The 23,457-nt window shown below is 35.5% G+C and overlaps 1 protein-coding gene across 5 annotated transcripts in view, besides 1 other annotated feature; it reads left to right on the forward strand.

Moving 5' to 3' along the window:
- The window catches only part of GRID2 (glutamate ionotropic receptor delta type subunit 2), a 1,506,491-nt gene continuing 1,493,998 nt past the window's right edge, over positions 10,965-23,457 (forward strand). For 4 of the 5 annotated variants that reach the window (NM_001440459.1, XM_024454024.2, NM_001510.4 and 1 more), the window contains exon 1: positions 10,965-11,743. In NM_001440459.1, coding sequence (NP_001427388.1) covers positions 11,656-11,743 — 88 coding nt within the window. In that variant the 5' untranslated portion in view covers positions 10,965-11,655. The remainder of the gene's footprint in view (positions 11,744-23,457) is intronic. The other variant, NM_001286838.1, reaches the window with a different exon arrangement.
- Positions 12,497-12,791: a silencer, noted in NCBI's record as "tiled region #6143; HepG2 Repressive non-DNase unmatched - State 9:DNaseU, and K562 Repressive non-DNase unmatched - State 24:Quies". NCBI's record gives its function as "represses a minimal TATA promoter and a strong SV40 promoter by Sharpr-MPRA in HepG2 and K562 cells {active_cell/tissue: HepG2 | K562}" and the evidence as "EXISTENCE:reporter gene assay evidence [ECO:0000049][PMID:27701403]".

A 23,457-nucleotide genomic window follows, 5' to 3' on the forward strand; every position in this document is an offset into this window, starting at 1 on the left:
GGCGGATCACGAGGTCAGAAAATCGAGACCATCCTGTCTCTACTAAAAATACAAGAAAAATTAGCCGGGCATAGTGGCGGCCACCTGTAGTCCCAGCTACTCAGGAGGCTGAGGCAGGAGAATGGCATGAATGGGGCGGGGTTGCGGGGTGTGGGCGGCGGAGCTTGCAGTGAGCCAAGATCGTGCCACTGCACTCCAGCCTGGGCGACAGAGCGAGACTCCATCTCAAAAAAAAAAAAAAAAAAAAAAAAGTATATATATTATATATATATATATATATTATATATATGTTTATGTCGCAATTTGAAGGATAACAAAATAGTCATCCAATTTTGTTTATGTTTATGTAGCAACTTGAAGGATAACAAAAAAAAAAAAAAAAAAAGACCAGGAGAAAGCACAAGTGTTATAAACTAAATAGCCACATCTCCAAACGTTTGAGAAAGATTCTTTCCCTCTTCAGTAAAAACCTTAATTCAAAATCACCTGAATCAAAATGAAAAAGTTTCAAATTTTACTAATGAAATGAAAATTTCTCTAAGCAAAGTAGACATAAAGGTCATAATTAGGATATCTTTAAGGAGATCATTTTTTAATCTGAATAATATTTCTCATTTTAAAAATATATGTTTAAAAATGTATTTAATTATATTAAATCAGTACAAGTCATTAAAAGATATTATTTTATAATACTATAGAAACATTTCTCTGGGGGATTTGAGAATGTTATTTTGAAAATTTAATTGTTTCAACAGGGAAAATATTGCTTTTTTACTATGGTTACTGCATAAACAATATCATCCTTATTGAATTTATCTTTAAAACCATCACAAATAATTTATCATGTTAGTTGTTTCCTCCTAGTCATATAATCAGATCTAATACTTCTGTCTTAATTTATGATGGAAATATTGTACAATAAAGAAAATGTCAACCATAATGATGCTGTTTGTCATGATAAAAAAACTATGGATCCAAATTCTGAGAAGAGAAAATTATGTTTAACGCATCAAATCATGATATTTCAGAGAGGTTATAACATTTACATTTATTCTGTACTTTGATATGGGGGTTAGTCAACTGAAGCATGGAAAGGACTCAAGCCTATGCAACTATGAGGAAATAAATGAATAATCATAATCATAGCTGAAAAAATATATATGGTAATAGTTTAATATGTTATAAGTCATTTCCAAGTTGCCATTTCAGAAATTCAGTAATTTCTGTGGGTTGTAATTGTGATTAGGGAAGAAAGGGACATTTTAGCCCAACATTTATTTCCACAGGTTTTATTTTGTATAGTTTATATCAACCCACTTTAAATTTCACAAATTTCTTCCTCAGGCATGACAAGCCCCTCAAAGTAATTCTTCAATTTAGATATCATGGTTTGTTGTTGTTTTAAATTTCAGGGATTTTTGTTTGATTCATTTTAATAGATTTCATCTTTTTGTTGAAATCTCTGTCTTTTCATTTATGTTCTTAACCTTTACCACTATATCATTTAACATATATATTTTTTTTGTTATTATACTTTAAGTTTCAGGGTATATGTGCACAATGTGCAGGTTAGTTACATACGTATACATGTGCCATGTTGGTGTGCTGCACCCATTAACTCATCATTTAACATTAGGTATATCTCCTAATGCTATCCTTCCCCACTTCCCCCACCCCACAACAGGCCCCGGTGTGTGATGTTCCCCTTCCTGTGTCCATGTGTTCACATTGTTCAATTCCCACCTATGAGTGAGAACATGTGGTGTTTGGTTTTTTGTCCTTGTGATAGTTTGTTGAGAATGATGGTTTCCAGCTTCATCCATGTCCCTACAAAGGACATGAACTCATCATTTTTTATGGCTGCATAGTATTCCGTGGTGTATATGGGCCACATTTTCTTAATCCAGTCTATCATTGCTGGACATTTGGGCTGGTTCCAAGTCTTTGCTGTTGTGAATAGTGCCACAATAAACATTTGTGTGCATGTGTCTTTATAGCAGCATGTTTTATAATCCTTTGGGTATATACCCAGTAATGGGATGGCTGGGTCAAATGGTATTTCTAGTTCTAGATCCCTGAGGAATCACCACACCAACTTCCACAATGGTTGAACTAGTTTACAGTCCCACCAACAGTGTAAAGGTGTTCCTATTTCTCCACATCCTTTCCAGCACCTGACTTTTTAATGATTGCCATTCTAACTGGTGTGAGATGGTATCTCATTGTGGTTTTGATTTGCATTTCTCTGATGGCCAGTGATGATGAGCATTTTTTCATGTGTCTTTTGGCTGCATAAATGTCTTCTTTTGAGAAGTGTCTGTTCATATTCTTCACCCACTTCTTGATGGGGTTGTTTTTTTCTTGTAAATTTGTTTGAGTTCATTGTAGATTCTGGATGTTAGCCCTTTGTCAGATGAGTAGATTGAAAAAATTTTCTCCCATTCTGTAGGTTGCCTGTTCACTCTGATGGTAGTTTCTTTTGCTGTGCAGAAGCTCTTTAGTTTAATTAGATCCCATTTGTCAATTTTGGCTTTTGTTGCCATTGCTTTAGGTGTTTTAGACATGAAGTCCTTGCCCATGCCTATGTCCTGAATGGTAATGCCTAGGTTTTCTTCTAGGGTTTTTATGGTTTTAGGTCTAACATGTAAGTCTTTAATCCATCTTGAATTAATTTTTGTATAAGGTGTAAGGAAGGGATCCAGTTTGAGCTTTCTACATATGGCTAGCCAGTTTTCCCAGCACCATTTATTAAATAGGGAATCCTTTCCCCATTTATTGTTTTTGTCAGGTTTGTCAAAGATCAGATAGTAGTAGATATGCAAATCATAGTTTTTGTAAATCCCCTGACTGATAGTTTTAACATCTGACTAACAGCTCAAACTCCTTCTATTGATTGTTTTAGCTCTGGAAAATGGCTTGTTTGTTTCTTGCTATTTTGTTTGTCTTATAATTTTTGAGTGATGTTAAACATTGTGAATTCAAGAACAATAAAGACTGAGGTGAAGAACATTCATAGCCAGAAATGTATACAACTCTTCCTCTCTTAGGGTGGTAGTAAATAATTGAGTTGTGTTTGGGCTTTGTTTTTGATATATTCACCCTCATTGCCAGCCAGTCTTCTAATTTTTTCAGTGTGGGCTGGTTGAACCACATGATTGAGTGAGGACTGTGGTGTTGGAGGCTTCTATCAGTTTTTGTGCTCCCTCCCTTTCAGAATCCATTGCACTACTGTGTCAAATAGAGGGTCTCTATATCCATACTCCTTCCTCTCTAAGTAGACTGCTGTTGCTTTTTATTCAATCCTAAACTCATTACGGAGGCAGGAAGCAAACTTGCGGTTCTTCAGGTGCAGGTTCAGTCTTAGACAACATCTATGTGCCTGAGTATCAGGAATAGGGTTTTATTATTATTCTTGTCTCTCTCCTCCCCAAGAGAACTATATTCAGACTTGTATCTCTGAAGGATCTGAAACAGGAGAGATACTTTTTTCCCCTCTTTGCCTCCAGCAAGAGTACACCTCTGCTTTATATCATCATAGTATCCTGACCCATAAAAGTTTTCATAAGGTAAGACAATTTTGATTCATTCCCTCTCCCCAAAACAGTGATCTTTGCTTGATGTCAGAAAGAAAGGTTCACTAACACTTCTCCAGAAGTTGATGAGTTTTGCTTTGATCCACAGAGCACTGGATCTTTGCCTGGGACCTGGGGATAAGACAGTTTGTTGCTTCTCCCTAATCAGCTTAAAGCTTTTTTCTACCTACAGTGAAGGGTGCAGGAAAGTGGACTATAGTTTGAAGCTATTCTACCCCCATCATACCTTTAGCATTTAGCGATCCTCCCTGGTCCTCATTCTTTCCCATGAACTCCTGTGAAGATCTATAGACTAGTTTATAATTGAATGAAAATGTCCTGTGTTTGTGTTCCCAGGTGTTTTAATTTTTTTGTAATCCACATTAAGCTTTTAGGAATTCATTAAAATTTGGGTTGTTTTTTTCTTATGTGCTTCTACAGCAGCCCCTTCTGTGCTCTGATAAAATGAAACAATTTTAATGTCCTGTCTCACATCCAAGGTGCCTTCTACTTCTTGGAACTCAGTTTACTTTGTTGTCTCATTACATCAGCTGTCTGATGGGTTTAAGAAAAATAATATTTTTATATATCATCCAGTATTTTCTCACTGTTAGAATCACAACAATGTTTTTAAATTTTTATATCCTAATCATAAGCAAAAATCTATAAAGCATTTTAAAATGAAAACATGTTTATTGCTTAGTGATAGATCTTTCTTCCATCACAGAAGTTCAAAATGGAGATTAGAAATTTCTATTACAGCACAAACCAGAATTTCTCTCCAGATATGATATTCCAGCATACAGATTTGTGATCTGGCTAATAGAAATATCAAAAAACAGAAGAGAAATCAACAACAACAACAAAAATAATAATTTTACTTTTGGAATTTAGAAAATGCGTTGCAACAGTGTAACAAAGAGTGTTCAGTATGTATTATAAAAAGGGAAATTGAGGGCTAAAAACATTTGGGATATACTAGGATTAATACAGGTTAATGATTTGTTTCCTAGTAGACTTCTCTTGACTTTTAATATATTAATTTGCACTGCAGATCTGTAAGAGAAGAAAATATCTATTTAGCACTTTACAATCTTATGTGACCACGAAGCCTCCTTTATTTTTTTTTATTTTTCCCATGAACAGTATTCCATAGAGCTCAATGTGGGAAATGCTAGTTTAGATATTTTTTAAACACACTGGCATTTAAAAATGTTTAAATATTGTCTTATTTTCACAATTTTGATTTTGTTGTGTCTAATTATAGTTAAACTCTCTTGATGAAATAAAAAATGTGAAAAAGCAGCAAAGTTTAGAAAAAGGAGAGCAAACAAAATGTTGATAGTGTAATTTTATATTAACAAACTTCAGGTAAATTCTGTGAAATCTAACCCTAAATTTAGTGTCCAACCACCCCCAACTCAGCATTCTCTTTAGTCACATAAACCATACTACAAATAGTTCAAGTTAAATTTGGGCAGAGATTCATATTTTGGCTTCTATTGCTGAGATAATTTTTATTGACATATTCCAAAGAACCCTTTGAAAATATCTTCCATCTGTTCTAGACCAAATGAATAACCACTATTTGTGTTGTAAACTATGGGACTGATAAATAGGCAAAATAATCTTATGAACAGAAAACTTTGATACCTCAGTTATCTGTTTATTTTGGAATTAAGATGATTTTGTATTATGCCGCATGGGTAATATTCCACAATATTTAAAAATTTTTATTTTATCCTTTTCTTCACTCCTTAATTCATTCATCTATTCATAATCTGTTAAATGCTTAAATTCACCACCAATTTGCAGAACCAATGAGGAATAAGGAATCTATTGTATTTAATTCTAAATAAATTATGTAGCTATCCACTAAGAAATGAAATGTTTTCTATGACTCCTTTAAAATCTTCAAAGTCAATATATATATATTATACATATGTATATAAATCAAGCTTTTGTTTCTCTATTTACACTTTCTTCATGACTTGTGCTACTATAAAATACAATATATTTTATACCAAAATGTACAGTTTATCTGTGGCATATTCCATAAGTATACTCTATACGGAGCCACTTATGTGTCTAGACAAGTATGTTACAAAAAATGTTGTAAATAAAAGTTAATTATGAGAAAATAAAATTTGATTTTTTTAGGATTTAAAATGCTAATGTACACTATAGTTGACATAATACAATTGTTTTTGGCTTTTGATATACTCAGACATTTGCCTCAACTAATATGCCACATGAAAAAGATCAGTGAAATAATTGACAGAAAATTTCTTTCCCATGGCAAAGTGTAATTTCTTATTTCAAGATATATAAGATATGTATTCTTTAAAAAGCAAATAGTTATATTAACTCATTTTTGAAACTTTAATATTTATACCAGAAATTTGAATCACAAAATAATGTCTCAGTTTTCTAACCATCCTTTAACTCAGGAGTGAGTGGCATATTATTAAAGATCGTTCTATTGGTCTTTAATTCCTAAGCAAGTGATCAAACTAGAGAAAATATGAATAAAACAGATATTTATTGGAGCCTTCTAATAGAAACCTATTACTTCTATGTGAAAGGTTTAGGAGAACCAGAAGAAATAAAACTTCAGAAATTCAAGTTAACAAAAAAAACCTTAAAATATAAAGTTTGCTTCATTATAGCTATTTGATTAGTATGAGTTAATAATATCCTTGTAAACTGTTAAAAGTAGAGACATTCAAAAAGTAAGCTGATTAAATCTACATCAAGCATGGCTGCCATCTTGTGGGGACAGGATATAATGTATTGAGGGGCCAATCTCAATAATGTGCCCCTTTTGGGTTAAAGTCATCATTTGTTCTCCATCAATCAGTTGTTTGATGCTTATCAACATTTCTCTTGAAATGCCACATCAACATTTGGACAGAAAAGATAAGGTAACTAAAAGGACTATTAATGAATCCCTGTTTCTAAAAGTTCAGTATCATTGCCAATGTATAGACAGTAAGAAAACTTTAAAACTAGAAGTTTTTCACTTGAATCAACCTTAAAAACAGATAAGTTTGGTAAAGCATTCATATTTATTAATCATTTAAATTGCAAAATTATATTAGAATTTATATCTAATTGAGTTAGAAGATAATATGGCATTGTCTGATAGGGCATATAGATTTACAGTTTCATAGATTTACAGAAAGCTTTGAAAAGAAGAAAGAGATTATGAGTTTATTTTAGAAGGGAGGGAAGAGGGAAGGAAAAGGAAAGGAAGGGAAGGGAAGAAGAAAGGGAGAGATGAAGAGAGGAAGGAAGGAAGGAAAGAAGGAAGGAAGGGAGGGGAGGGGAGGGAAGGCGAAGGAAGGGAAGGGAGAGATATAAGCTATTACTGAGGATAAGATTTTCACTAGTGTCACAGACAAAATAGTTTGACAGAGCGGTAAGTGGTAAGTCAGTGTGAAGTTGACCTGAAAAAAATGAGGTCAAGATAAGGCCAGCGTAAATATGTTATACAGGAATATGTAATTTAAGTATTTTTTCAAAGCTTATTTAAAAGTCAAAACATGTGCTTTCTAAGTTTAAGCCTTCCAACAAATATTAGTACAACTTCTGGAACTCAATTTTCCCATCATTGTCTAGAAAACCAAGACACTGAATGAGAAAGCCCCTGAAGCCTCAATGAGCTCTGAACTTCTTTGATGTGCTGAGTACAAAAGTTACTCTTTCAGTCCCTCAACCAAAGGGAATTTATGTTTTTCACATCTGCAAATAAATATCCCAATTACAATTTTACAGCCATTTATCACAACTACTTGCATCTATAGATGATCAGTCTTTGCCTTTTAACAGTTTTCCTTTCATGCTCATATTAAGGTTGAAATGTACTTGGAATCTTTTGTGTGACTAGCCATATTTGTAATATGAATAATATAATCATAAATAATTAGAAATAATGATCAGAATTTATTGTGTCCCATTTTGATGATATTATTTTAAAAACCAACTCTTTTAAGTTTCAAATAAGTTGACTCATAAATTCATAGATCTTTATACTAAAACAAAATAAAACTCATGAGTCATTAAAATATAATTGAACAGTTCGTTAAAATTGACCAATGTAAGTTGATTTACTGCTGTTATAACAATGAGCAGCTGATTTTTAAAATTTAAGCATTGGTATTCTTAGCAGTTTTAACAGTGAAAATGAAATAATTATATGTTCCAAGAATTTCTATTCTATTACCTTGCTTTCTTTCCACAATTGTGCATGATTGAAGCAGTCAGCATTTGTAGTTTCCCCTCCAATGCAAATCAGTTTTTCTCAAAAATTCTGCTTTTCAAAGAAAAATAGGCATATTAGTTTAAATCTTGGGGTAGTTCAGATAATCTATCATTTCTTCAAATAATTGATGTTCAAATCATGATCGATGCCTGAATGAAGTAACAGTCTCCACCTTGGAAGAATAAACTCAACAAACATGATTTACTTACATTTTATTTTAAATAGTTAATCATTTGTTATAAAACTTTAGTTAATGAGGGTATTTTCCTGCCAATACATGCCAGAATTTCACAAGGTTTGAATTTAAGTACAGTGGGCCAGGTACATCACTTATTTCCATATAATAAGGCTTGAATTAAAGTTAAGCAGCCTTAATGAGACCAACAGATAGCTGTCATTAAAACATTTAATATGCACAGCTAGTGAATTCATATTTTTTCTTCTGGAATTTAACATCTAACTCACACATTATAAATATTTGTATCCAGCTAACTACATATTACATTATGACAGACAATTTTCTAAAGTAGTAGAAAATATAGTTAATATATATTTATTATATATTTATTAATTAGGAATCATTGAATGTAGAAATTATTTCAACAGTAAAAAGACTGATTGTTATTCTTGAAAAATCAAACAGCCAATGTTAAATTTATACTAACTTTCTTGTGTAACTTTTGGAAAGCCAAAACTTGTTGTTCTACTGTTTCTTCTGATTGGCAGGAGTGGTCATTATACCTTAAGGGCTTTTTTTGATGTGTCACCCAGACTCATTTAAATGTCTGAGTATTAGAACAGTGATTCTGAACTATGGCTGCATAGCAGAGCCCTGTATAGAGGCTTTTAGAATATATTACAGGCTGTGTCCCAAACTCCAGAGATTCTGATTAAATTAGCCTTAAGTGACCATTTTAAAAAGCTTCTCAGATTATTTCAAAGTGAATCTACATTTGAAAACTACTAAACTGGAGGATTTGGGAATAATGAAAATGCTTTGCTCACAGTACACTAAAACATTTCCAAGAGGGGAAATAGTATGAATATGACTATACAATATTTGACTTTCTCCAGGACAGATACTCATTAGCCAGGACTGGACTAGTTAATGCTCTGAAGTTCTTCCTAGTTATCTTATTCTAAGATATCATGGTGTTCTTTCCATGTTAAATGGTTATAATTTTTCTTGATAGAATACATAATGACTTACCAATTTTTAGAATGTCACTGTAAATAATATTTGAAGGAAGCTATGGGGAGTGCATCTCTTCTTTCAATTCATTATCTGAATAAGCAAAGTATAATCTATGGAATTGCATCAAAACACTTTATAAAGTAAAATGACATTAACACCAACATTAATATAATCAATATTGAGTCAATGTCTACTAATGGAAACAAAAGATAAGAGAATGATCAAAATTGAGAGTAATTAATCAGTGAATGCTTCTTGGAAGCACTGGTTTGTTCCAGATTCAGAAGGAAGTGATGAAATTCAAGTCAACAAAGGGGTTCTCTGTAAAATGCTGTGTTGAATAAAATGTGAATGAGCTTTGGTTTTCACTCTCAAGGCATTTATGATCTAACTTAGTAGTAGTTCTGTCTAACTCTAATACAAAATAGGGTGTGTTACGACAGCATAGAAGATAGATGGATTTATTCCACATTAAAGGACTGGACACTACTTCATGGGCAAAAGGAATTTGAACTAGCCCTTGAGATGGTGAAGGAGAGTGGTTGGGAGGACAAATACGTGCTTTCCAAGCAGAAATATTAACATAAGTAAAAATATGGCAGCAAAACATTTTCTGGAATGTTCAGGAAAAAGTGTACAAGATGAATGAAAACAGCCAGAAGTGAGAATGTACAACTGTGTCTGGAAAAATAGTAACCCAATTCAGAAGGCTAGAGAGAAGGGCTCAAGTGAGGGAACGGGAGGAAAAGAGGTTTGCCAAACTTGGAGGTAAGGCTTTGAAAGGTTGTGTAATGAGCTTGACATCCACACATCCAACATTCCTAAAGAATTCCAATTATAACTGAGACAATATTATGACATTAATACCTGACCTCGACTAGTCACTCGATTGTGTTAACAAATCTTCAGTTTGCAATGAGGCCAGATTGACATAAGTCAATCATTATAAGAAAAGAAGTCACAATGATCAGGATTTTATCTTAAGGAATAAGCTTGCAGAAAATCCTTTCACTGGAGACTGAGAGGCTGTCATTCAGGACTTCCTCAGCTTTTTCCATGGAAGAGAGTACCCAACTTCCTCATTCGGAATTTATCTACATAGGTTATTAAGCTACTCAATGAAATATTTTGACCAAATGTTTATGAAAAATTTTTCTGTTTTATTTAATTATTCTGCTTTTTTATTTTAATTTCAAGATCTTTTCTATCCTGATAGAGAAGAATTTCTATCAATAGAAAGGATTTCAGGAACCTTTCTCTATCCTGATTGCCTAAAAAATACACTGGAGACAGAAAAAAAAAATCATTGTATAAAAGGTAATTAGCACGTTCTCTCCTTTTTATAACTTTATAATTGAAATCTCATTAAAAGCTTTCTAGGTCTGTATTTCCCTAAGTGACCAGGTGTCCCTAATTTGTTTTCAACCAATGTGACTAATTCCAGGCAAAGACTAGAAAAAGTCTGATACCTGTTAGAGAATAGCAAGGTTAAATAAGTGGGGTGGCTTTTTTAGGTTGCATTTAACCTCGTAAAATAAAGAAAGGAAAAAAAAAGCTTCAATGTCTTTTTACAGTCCTGCCTTTTTCTCAGTCCCGGTTGAAGATTCCATGGGAAATGAGAGCACTATTTTGTTTCTCCCTTGTATTGCAGATAGGGGGAGGAGGTGGTTATTAGAGAGAAGCTCTTCCTCTCTTGGTTTCCCCCTCTCTCCGCCTGACAGCACCGCTCTCTCGCAGGCTCGCTCCTTCTCCTAGGTGATCCATTTCTAGGCAACGTGGGGCTGGTGCTGAAGCTGCCAGGCTCGCTCCTTGCTTCCTGCATCCCGCCAGGCGAAACGCTCCAAAAGCATCCTGCAGCCTGCGGCGGCTTCCCTCCTCTGGCCCGGCCCCGCTGCTCGCGCCCGGCGCAACCCCCCCGCCACCGCGCCCCAGCAAACCGGCTCCCCGGGCCCGCCTCGCCAAGCTGCGTTCCGCGCCTCACGCAGAAAGGGAATTTTCTCTGCATTACTATCTGCATTACCTTGAAGTTCACTTTTTCTACCCCTCTTGGAGAGGGCTTTTTTCCCCCCTCCCTGGTGGAATCTGGCTGCTCCGTTTGGAATCTCCTAATCTTTCCTTTCCACTTAGATTCTGGCAGCGAAGACCAGTGATTCTCTGCGGGCTGTAGGGGCGGGGGCGGGGGTCTTTTTTGGTCCGAGAGGGTGCGGGGAAGGGGGCACATCCGGCGTGAGGGGGGTGTTGGAAGTTGCAGCGGAGCTGGGACCGGAGACCCGCGGCCCCCGCGCAGCGATGGGTCTGATCTGAGCCCCAGCCTCTCCCCCTGCCCAAGAGCAGTAGAGGCTGGATATATTTTTCAAAAGCCAAACTGCAAACAACTCTGGCGATGCCAAAATTCCCCTCCAAGTGACACGGCTTTGCGAAGGAGGTTTCCTCAGGCTGGGCTCTTTCTGTCATTCCCTTCTGCCTTTCTCGGCGACGATAAAAGGCTTTGCTCTGGCAATAGGAATTTAGAAAAAAAGAAAAAGCTGCGCTAAACTCCACCGTGACCTCAAACTCTTTGGACTGTTTGAAAAAAAAAAAATTGGAAGAAAATCCATCCTCCAAGAGAATCGGCATAGGAGGAGATGGAAGTTTTCCCCTTTCTCTTGGTTTTGTCCGTCTGGTGGTCTCGAACCTGGGACTCGGCGAATGCGGATTCGATCATTCACATCGGTAAGAAAGTGTTGGTGCAGCTCGTGGTTACTTTTACCGTTTCAGTTCTCAAATGTTTCCCCTTCGCTTTCCCCCTCTCCGGTCTCTGTGTGTCTTGTTGGAGGTGGCTTCAGTTCATTGCCCCTTCCCGCTACCCTTCCCTCACACTTGCTCAGTTTTCTGAAAGGATGTGGATGCTCGAACCTCGACTGACTTGTGCTGTTGTTTTGCAGTGATTCGTGGAATGTGGCTGGATGCGTGGGGGTCTCGAGTTGACCTGAGTGTGAGTGTGTGCTGGGAACTGCAGGGGGATTCTAAGTGTGTGGGGAAAGGGAGTTTAATTGACTCTTATCTTCCATATTTTTTTTCCCGGATGTACATTTGCTCCATTTAAAAATTTATCTTTGGGGGAGCAGAGAAGCTGTCACCTGTGAGATGAAAAGAACTGGGCTGGGGGGTAGGGGGAGCTCCCTTCGGATCGAACAGGTGGTTTTGCAACGTGAGCCGGCTGAGTTCGCCGCAGCTTAGTGCGATGGTGACGGGGGTGCCGGATGCGCCCCCAGCCACCCTCTCTTCTCACATCTTCTTGGCTTTATGATCCTTGCGTGTAGTCTTTGAGACGGTGGCAGGAGGGGCTGGCGGCAGTGTCGCCAAGGACTGATTGTCGCGTGCCTCGCCTCCTCGGACACGCTCCCGGGGCCTGGCGCGGCGGCGAAACTGACCCCGGGGCGCTTGGGAAACGCGGGGAAGCGAATGCGCGCAGGCTGCTCCCGAGGTCTGCTTAGCAGATATCCGCCTTGCCTCGCCTCGCCTCGCCTCGCAGTCAACTCCGAGTAGCCGCGCAAGGCAGACAGCGAAGGCGCCGGGACTACTGCGGGCCGCGACTCTGAGAAGGACTGCCGAGCGGGCTCCGAGATGCTGGTGGCCCCACCTATTGGCAACCAGACGGGCCGGGACTGGCCGCGGCGAGCAGGGGCGGGCGGGGGGCTGCGCGTCATTATCATGCACAGCGCTCGCAGCTTCAGGCTCCAACTCTACTCACTTGCTAATCCGTGAGAGCTGAGCGGGAGACAGGCTCTTGCAGCCTTTTCTGCGTTAATGCGACGATTTCTTTTTCGGAAATTCGCTTACCGAGCCAGCAAGGTTTCTTTGCTGGGCTGCAGAGAGGTCCCTTTGGGGGAATTTTTCTGGGCACAGGACTTTTATCTGTACGCATGGCTTGGTGTTCTGCAAATTGAGGCGACAGATGGGTCACAGCTTCTCCCCTTTCTGTACCCCTGCTTCTCCACCGCACAACACGCATACACATACACACACGCACGTACACATACTCCTGGTAGGGGAATCTGCTGCAGGTGGCGATTGTGCCCGCCCAAGCGAGGGATTTCTGTCTAGCGTGCGCGCCCACAGTGGCCAGCCCCTCCGCTCCAGGGGGCTCCCTCTCTTGGTCTCAGAGGCTGTCTTTGTAAACATGTCTGCCATTCTCTATCATTTATATCAGTAGAACTGTCTGTCTCTGTGCAAGGGGTAATGAGGTCAGGATTCAGAAAACCTAGCGTTTGTGCATTAAGTAAGTCAAGCACTAATAGCTTGCCTGCTGGATCCCGTTTTGCCTGGGGGCTAACAGTGCCTACAGATTCAGAACTTTTCAGCAAGAAATTATGGTCTCATTGAGTGGTTCAGCAATGTTCTGATAGAGTTCAGAAATGAACTATGCTCCTTTTAGAGAAATGGCATACATTTATATCTAGTTGTAAATGATTGGAGCAGGAATGCAGATATATAATCATAATACCTTTATATTCATTGTATGATTAGGGATTTCTGATGTAGGCTCCTCATCTCTCAGGAGGGAAAGCCTGTGGAAGAATGCTTTTTTTAAATCGCTTATTCTGTGGTCTGCATGATAAATACATTATTTACAAATACCTACAGCTTTTGCTATCCCTTACTAGTTAAATATTATTTTGCAATGCAGTCTGGACATCTGTTTCAAAATAGAACAAAACTGTTGTATTTTTTAGTTTGTATACTGTTGTCTGTCAGAGTGGCTATAATCACATTTAAAAATTAACTGTGTACAAATTACAGATTTCTTTAGAAAGTTGGTTGTATACATTAACTGTGTATATCCTACTAACAGATATAGTTACTTCTGAGACAATTAATTTGACTTGAATATAATTAGTACATTAGATGAGATAATTAGCTGTTTTATAGACTACCTAATATTGTCATGAGGCTAGCAAATTGTTTCAAAAACTTTATCTTTTATAATATATCGAAAAACATTAACTCCTAAATTAAAAAAATAAAAAATGATGACGGGTAGTATGTGTGTAATTCAGTGCCTCCACCCCTACTCTCAGCAAAAGTATAGTAAATTCAAAACCGAATGTCCATATTAAAATTGTAAAGCACCAGTTAACATGAATTGGATTAGTTTCCTTACTTGTTTGAATAGGAAAAGAATTAATTTTCTTTAGGAGGTGTTGCCTTCATTTAAATATTTAATGTGAGAAATATGTTTCTGGGGAAATATATTAGTTCAGGACTGAAGGAATGAATGTGATGAAACTGGAGGGAAAGGGAATATTTCACCTCTAGCGATGGAAGGAGATATGCAGAAATGAAAGGTTTTCCCAGCCTCATGTGATGTGTTCAAGCAGAAAGTAGCTGCAATATGTAGTTCAGGCAAACTGGAAAGATGAAAAGACACTGCTCTAAGAGGCTTTTTATATATTGAATTATTTTGGTATTGAACCAACTTATATATACATGAAAATCATCTCCTTCTTTCTCTCTTTCTCTTCAGTTTTTACCTCATGCCGGTAGTTTAATAAGGTCAATTACACATTTTAAACTCTAATATGTTTTGTTAAACATATTGATTCACTACAGTGATGAAACATAATGGTTAAACCATAATGATTGAAATGAAAATGTATTTATTTTAGTCAAAAATGCACAATTTTATGATTACTTTGAGTTTCAAATATTTAAAAATATTTAATCATTACGTATATTTTTAATACACATCCACACACAGATACACAACCATATAGTATTTAAAAATGAATCACTTCCATTGTGATCTTCTTTGCCCCAATTAAAGAAAGGTCTTTTGACATATAAAAACTATGCAATTTTGAATTATGCTTCTACTTTGAGCCTATGCATTGATTGAGTAATTTCATCAGACCCACATTACTTGATTGCTTAGAAGTTTCCTAATGATCTGCATGCTGTAGGAAGAACCAAAAAGTCGTGAGTGGAATGGCAATGATACTGTGTTTTATGAGGCTATTCAGAAGTCGCTCTGATTTATGTAGCTAGAAAGCTCCAAAGTCTTTGAGATTAGCCACGCTGACTGCTATTTTCTTCATACATCAGTCGTCCCACACTCTTTACTCCCTAAACACAACAGGAGTTTAGAGCACTGCTTTAATTCAGCAGGGATTAGGTGGCATTTCCAGTCAACTGCACAGTTTGTGTTTTGCTTCATATCAACTATGGAAGATCTCATGTTTTAACAGTTTAATATATGCTCCTTTCTTTATCTGGTTCCTGTGCTCACAGAACTGATTGTAAATTAGCTGTCCTCAGTTATACATCTCTACAAGGGAACACTCAAACAGTGTACTTATTCATATATTATACAAATCACTAGCATATTTTTGTTGTTTTCAGTCATAGTAAAATACCTTATGTCAACATGGAGTAGAAAAGATGCATTTATTCATGTTTTTCTCACAAACAGATGATACTTTATCCTCTGAAATCATAATCAGCTGTGATATTATATTTGAGAAACCTAAGATAATCCACAGAATATTTTCACTATGAGAATGTTCAAATTAAAGTACAAAATCGGGTAAATAAAAGGTGTCAACACATTAAAAACAATAATAGATTGTAAATGTAAAATACCAGTTATTCTTACTTCTGCACTAAGGATTATTTTGACAATTACAGCATATAAAAGCATTCCCAGAAGATGTGCTGTTCTTTTACCATTTTTTTTTTTCAGTTGACTACATGATTTGCATTGGTTAATGATAACCCCCAGGACTCCTCAAGGATTTTTTGGATTGTGTAAGATGTCTCAATGATATTTTATCCTTTTTCTACTTATAGTAGTTGTTTGTTCCTGAAGTTCTTGATAACTGTGTAAACGTCTAGAATGTACTAAGGGACTTGGCTTTACTATTCTTCTCTGTATCATTAATACAGTTATTTGAAGCACAATTCAAGTGTGTATTAAGTTAGACAATGTTGTTATTAATCAAAGATACCAACTATGACATGACTAATAAGCCATTACACTAAGGGCCTTTGCTTTCTACGCCAGGTGAAATGTACATCCACTAAATATCTGTTATAAATTTTAAGCCAAATAGGAATAAAAATCCAGGTGATTAACTTTTGATTTATTAAAAAATAAAAGCCAATTGAAATTGTTAGGAGTGATGGAAGATACATTTTATTCCATTCTGATATCTCAGGCTAATTTTATCATATGGTAATTTTATCTTAAAGGGCCATTGCAATTTCAAAAGCACACTTTTTAATCCAGAAGTTTTTTTTCTTCACCTACACCTACGTATATGACTTTATTTTAAAAAGTAAGATATTCACATTTCTATTGGATCATCATGATATTTTAGATTACAGACAGCATATTGGTGAGTAGCAATACTTAGAATGTATTACTATAGTATAATGTTTATTAGAAAATACATTTATGGCCTATAAAGATATCTTTGCCATTAGGTGTCACTGCATTCTGAGCTGTATTTTTTTTTTTAGTACTACTTGAAAACCACATGAAATATTTTTAAAAATCTCAGAAAAAAATGTCATTTTAATGAGGTTTGTGATGCTGTAAGAAAATAGGTAGTTTTTATTTTCAAACTAGAAAAATAAATATGATCCCTGTCTCTTATTCTTGTAAGAATTTAATGCTAGGACATATCAACACACCTGATACCCTCTAAACAAATTAGATTGCTAGACCTAGTGATACAATTTTTTTTCTTATATTTAAAATAGGAGAGAAATATCTTCTTAAACTAATACTTATTCTCTATGAATAAAATCTAAGACACCTGGAAGGATGCAAGTGTGTTTAATACTGCTGGAGTAAACACACATTAGTGAATAAAGTAGTTTGTTAAGCAGCTTCTAACGGTGGTAGCTCTGCTTACCTATGGGATACTTGAGGTCCCAAACTGATTGTTGTTTTTGAGACAAAACATATGAAAATAGAGTTGTGGGGAAAAAAAAACACATGGACACAAATACATCTAAAAATAATGTCAACCATTGAGTTTTATGAATGACCATATATGTTTTCAGATAATTTTTGCCTGGTTAATTGTATGCATTGTATCGATTCCTTGCATAGTTGCACCTCCACCACTACTATCACTACAAGTACCACAATTATAGGGTTTATTTGTTCATGTAAAACTCATAACTATTCTCACATAGTAATTTATTTGTTTTGTAAAAAGGCACTATCTTCCTTCTAGCATATTTCATTATAAGAATAATGGAGGATGAAATTTAGGGCAACTTTTAATCTGATAATTTAGTTTTAACATTGGCAAACTCACATTATTAGAGAATGCAACACTAGTTTAACTGAATGAATGGTTTGTCTTATGTTAGATTTTGCCCTATGCCAAAGTTCATTAATTATTGGAAAATTAAATGATTAGACAGATGTCTAAAAGATAAGAAAAAATACTAAACAGTTCTGGAATTGATTATTAGAACATCTATGGATTCATGTCATTAAATTGGCAAATTTTAGCATATTGATGTGGACACACATTTCAGAGAATTTGACAAACATATGGGCAATGTTAAGGTATAATAAAAAAAAGTATTCTGGATTAGAATTTAGAAGGTATTGGACTAAATCTCAATTTATAAATAGCTAATTGAATACATTGGAAAGTTATTTAATTTTTAGTCTTCATTTTTATCAACCCTAAAATAAGATTTAGACTAATGTTCATTTAATCTCTAAGATTATATGAACTAAATGGAGAACAATTGCTATATTTAAGGAGGAACAGAAAGGAATTGGGAGAAGAGATACAGTCAAGTGTGGCTATATTTAATAGCTGCCTTAGAGTGACCTTCAAAAAAGGAAATACAAGGGGAAATAAGGAACATGAAATCTTAATTACACAAGTTAAGAACTCTTTAAATTGAAGATGTCTTTGTTGCAAACAAGAATTATGTACATTTCTTCATCAGGTATTCTGGATAACTAGTATCTGATTGAGAGAGCTGGATTTGTTTTTTGTTTTCGATTTTGTTTTCGTTTTGTCTATTATTAGTACCAAGGTGTTACCTACAGCATCACTCCTATAGAACACTGCAAAATTAGTGTTTAACACTAATTGGAGGGATGAATAGTCTTATGTATCAACTATCATTGTGTATGTACACTTGCCTTTAGAATTTGCAAACTGGGAGTGCATCAGGAATATTAACATATGCTTTATATCACTACAAACAAAAGTAGAGTATAAAGAAAGCAACCAATTCAAAGTTCTTCACTATCCTGGACTCCTGCTTCAGGTTTTTATGCTTTTATCCTACTGTTGTTCACCAAGTAGTCATCAATGTGAAGCTGAGGCTGAGTTGACCCCGAAAGCTTCTTGAGTAGATACAGGGAAGCCAAGTGAACACCAGAAGCTAAGCACCAAAGGCCTACTTATGGTCTTAAATATTCTTAAATCACTCTGTAGTCAAGTTCCTTATTAACAGATTTTTAAAATGAAAAACATTAGGTAGTAAATTATATTACAATAGCAATTTGCATATGTTTTTCTTTAAACTAAAATAATTAAAAGTACTATTTTAAAAAATAATCTCATTTTATTGAGCAGAGTACCTGATTTTTTTCATAAGTAAGCTTAAATAAGATATTTGCTTCATTAATAAAGTCATTATAATTCTAGAAGTTAATATTCCTGAAAGTATATGGTAATATAAGCATTACTACCAACATGTAGTATGTGTGCTAATTGGGAGAATATTCTTTTATTCAGCAAACATTTTATTCTGAATTTACTCTGTATGAAGCATTGCTTTTAGTCTCTAAAATTAAAATGTTGAACCAACAAGCTATGTTTTTGTATTTAAGGAACTTACATTCTCATGGAAGAGGCAACCAGATAAGAAAATATATGATGTAATGTCAAATATTGATAAATGCTATGAAGCAAAATGAGGGAATGAAGGGTGACAAAGTATGTTTTCATTGGAACAGAGACTTGATCCAAAGAAAGGATGTGAACCATGTGGATATCTGATGAAGAATAATTCAGTCAGAGGATATAGCAAGAATGACGGCCATGAGATAAGACACTAAGAAAATCTGCTTAGTTTACTTAAGAAATATATTCAAAGGCAATTGGAGTATAGTTCAGTGAGAAAAGCAGGAAGTGGAAGTAAATGGGGTCTGAGAGGGCACTGAGGAAGATTCTGTAGGGACTTACAGGCCATGGTAAGGTATTTAAATCTTCTAGGTATATTTGGGTTAAGATAAAATGTGTGATATGAAATAGTTTGTATTTTAGAAAGATAACATTCTTTGCTTAAGTGCACTGGATAGAGTAGAAGTATAAATTGACAATAGCAAATTGGATCAAGGTGGTAGCTTAGCTAAATGTACAGTTATCAGATTGTGGACATAATGTGAAGATCGGAAAAACAGGATTTTCTGATAGATGAGCCAGGTGGGAGAGATCCAGAGAAAGTAAAGAGGCTTCCAAGGTATTTTACCCAAATACATGGAGTAAATGTGTTACTGTTGACTAATATTCGGAATATGGGGGCATGAGCAAGTTTAGGGTACAAATCAAAATGTGCATTTATTAAATTTTGTATTAGACATCAAACTTGAGAGTTTAAATTGGAAGTTTATTATATGATCCTGAAATTAAGAGGTGAGTTTGGGATTTGAGCTGTACATTTGGGGAATATATCATTGTAAATATAGACTCCTGTAAGAATAGTCATAATCAAAGAATCAAAAAACAGTAGATGTTGGCATGGATGTGGCAGTCAGGGAACACTTCTACACTGCTGGTGGGAATGTAAGCTAGTATAGCAACTATGGAAAACAGTGTGGAGATTTCTTAAAGAACTAAAAGTAGAACTATCATTTGATGCAGCAGCAACCCCACTACTGGATATCTACCCAGAGGAAAAGAAGTCATTATTCAAAAAAGATACTTGAACATGCATGTTTATAGCAGCACAATTCACAATAGCAAAATCATGGAACCAACTCAAATGCCTGTCAAAGAATGAGTGGATAAAGAAACTCTGATATGTGTGTGTGTGTGTGTGTGTGTGTGTGTGTGTGTGTGTGTATATGAGATGGAATACTACTCAGCCATAAAAAAGAACGAATTAACAGCATTTGCAATGACTTGGATGAGATTAGAGACTATTATTCTAAGTGAAGTAATTCAGGAATGGAAAACTAAACATTGTATGTTCTCACTGATATGTGGGAGCTAAGCTATGAGGACACAAAGGCATAATAATAATACAGTGGACTTTGGGGACTTGCGAAGAAGGGTTGGTGGGGATAAAAGACAACAAATATGGTGCAGTGTGTACTGCTTTGGTGATGAGTGCACCAGGTTCTCACGAATCTCCCCTAAAGAAACTTACTTATGTAACCAAATACCACCTGTACCCCAATAACTTAGGGAAAAGTAAAATTAAAAGAAAGAAAATAATAATAAAATAAATAAAAATAAAGGAATGGAGGGGAAGACGTGCAGAGAGAGAAGAGTTCCAAGACTAGGTCATTTAGCATTCCAAAAGTTTGAGTCCAAGGAGAGCAGCGGATGCAGGAAAAGAGAAATATTAGTAGCCTGGGAGACAGGAGGAAAACCAGGAGTACATGGTATTCTGGAAGCCATGTGAGAAAAGTAATTCTAGAAGGAGAAGTGAGAAACCCTGTTGAATTGTATGTATGCAAATGGAGATTTGATTGCTGGGCTTGAAAATGTTGAGGACAAAGATGACTTTAAAGAAAGTGCTCTTAGTGGACTACAAGTGACAAAATACTGATTGTAGAGAACCCGAAGATTTAATAGAATATGAGGAATTCTATGAGTTTTGTCATAAGAAAGTGGTAAGGAAGGGGATATTAGGTTAAGGGAAGGATTTCCTTTTACAGCTGGGCATTGGTATATATATGTAATTTTCTGAATATTCAGTCCTAAGAGAATTATCAGTAAAATGATTTAAAATTGATACACCTTTTTCTTTCAACTTATATAATTCCTGAGTTTGGATAGAAAACGTTCAAATAGAAAGGAAATCTGTTTTTTTTTCTTTTTCTTTTTCTTTTATAAATTGGATCAAGTGACACCAGGCCAAACACACTGAAATTAACCTGAGAGACAAGTTTAGAGTTTAGATTTCATTTAGTTTCCCAGATTGCCATTCAAATTTCATAGAAATTTTTTATCTGAACTTAAGAGCAGATTACATTTTACATAGTATTGCTATAACATTACAAATGTCATAAATATTTAGTCATTTGGTAATGTACTAATTCCAGGAACACACAATATTTCTATTCTGTTAGTGGTATTAAAATGCATAAAATTCTTGTTATAATAGACAAATTTAAATCCATTGTAAATTTCCTCTGAGTGCATTCTGTTATGAATTTGATTTGCTTCAAACATCACTTTGGAAACATTTTTTTAAAAAGTTTTTAATGTGTAGAGGGACAAAAAGGATATATGTGTTGAGGATACCTAATCCAGAAATCTAAAATCCAAATGCCCCAACATTTGACACTTTTCAACACTGACATCATAACACAAATAGAAAATTCCACACCTGACCTCATGTGGTGGATGCACAAAATTATAGAAAAAAGTTGTATGAAATTATCTTACCTTCTGGCTATGTGTGTAAGGTATATATGAAGCATAAATGAACTTAATGTTTACATTTAGTACTATCCCCAAGATATCTCATTGTTTATACGCAACTATTCCAAAATCTGAAAAAATTCTGAAAACCAAAACACTTCAAGTCCCAAGCATTTCAGGTAAAGGATACTCAACGTGTAGTAATTACAGGGCAAAGTTTATCATTGCAGCATAGAAATTAAATAGATACAATAAATTCATTTGGCATATCATATTCATATGATTTCTGTGACACATTTAAATATTTCCTTTTATGGATCTTTTACTTATTTGTGCTAAACAATGGATGATAGATTTTCAGTCATAGGTGGACATGAGGAAAGGAAATGTTCTAAATTTAGTAACCTCAGAATTCAGCCTTTTGAATATGAATCTTAGTTCTTTCATTAGTATTAATATAACCATAAGTTGTGTATTTTGATTTTGCACCTAAAATAATAATATCTGTACTAAAATAAGCATGCTAATAGCAGGTGAATTATATTTTTTGTGTTCTTTGTTGTTGTAAGTGTTATGTCCTCTATAAAAACATTTCATCATATGGAAACAATGTGATATGGATGTCAGATGGTTGTTTCTGCTCTGATACATCTGTTAATTGATATGTAAATATGGAATATTTGAACAATGAGAGGGTAGGAGTCTTATAGTTTGAGAATAGCAATGACTCACAAAAAAAGCAAATTGTGTTCTGGCTGGAGCCTAGGAACTTAATTGATGAAATACAGAACATTGAAAGATATTTTCTATTTACTAGTTCATAGCTTCTTGGGGTGGTGAAATATCATTTGAAGGAAATGCTGCGTGGACTTAAATCCAAACTTAAGTTGGAATGAACCCCTAAAACTGGTGAAGTGTTTACTATATATAACTTCAACATCATTAAAATGTCATGTCATTGATTGACTTAGTATCTTAAAATCCAAAGACCAGGTAATACCTTAGTAGCTTTGGTGAGACAAGAGAACTTAGTCCTGGCCATGCACGGTGGCTCACGCCTGTAATCCCAACACTTCGGGAGGCTGAGGCGGGTGGATCACCTGAGGTCAGGAGTTCAAGATCAGCCTGACCAACATGGTGAAACCCCGTCTCTACTAAAAATACAAAAATTAACTGGGCATGGTGGTGTGCGCCTGTAATCCCAGCTACTCAGGGGCTGAGGCAGGAGAATTGCTTGAACCCAGGAAGTGGAGGTTGCAGTGAGCTGAGATCGCACCATTGCACTCCAGCCTGGGCAACAAGAGTGAAACTCCAACTCAAAAAAAAACAAAAACAAAAAGCAAAAAAAAAAAAAAAAAAAAAGAAAAGAGAACCCGTTCTGTTGTTCTGTTGTATGACATTTAAAGCGAATTAAAATCCAGAAGACTGATTCCTGCTTCTAATAATCTCTGCAATCTGACAACCAACAAAATTGGGTTAGTGGTTTAGTGGCAGTTGCTGTCTTGCTACTCAGAATCCAGATATTCTTTGCTGCTTCTGTGAATGGAAATAACAGAAACCATTGAATTTTCTTTTTAGATATACCAACAACTCTCAGCATAGCCCAGTAGAAGCATGGCCTATATAAGAACCATTATACATTTCTTCTTAAATGGTTTTTCAATTTTTAACACCTTATTAATGTGGGTGATGCTTCATCCACAGATGTAAGAGGGACTGCTCTTCTGTTCTCTTGTGGTGTAGTCATGGTGAGTTTTGGACATTTTCTATAATCCATTAATTTCAAGCTGAGAAATTATGACTCAA

The sequence above is a fragment of the Homo sapiens genome, chromosome 4, assembly GCF_000001405.40.
Source record: "Homo sapiens chromosome 4, GRCh38.p14 Primary Assembly".
In the NCBI taxonomy this organism is placed as follows: Eukaryota; Metazoa; Chordata; class Mammalia; order Primates; family Hominidae; genus Homo; species Homo sapiens.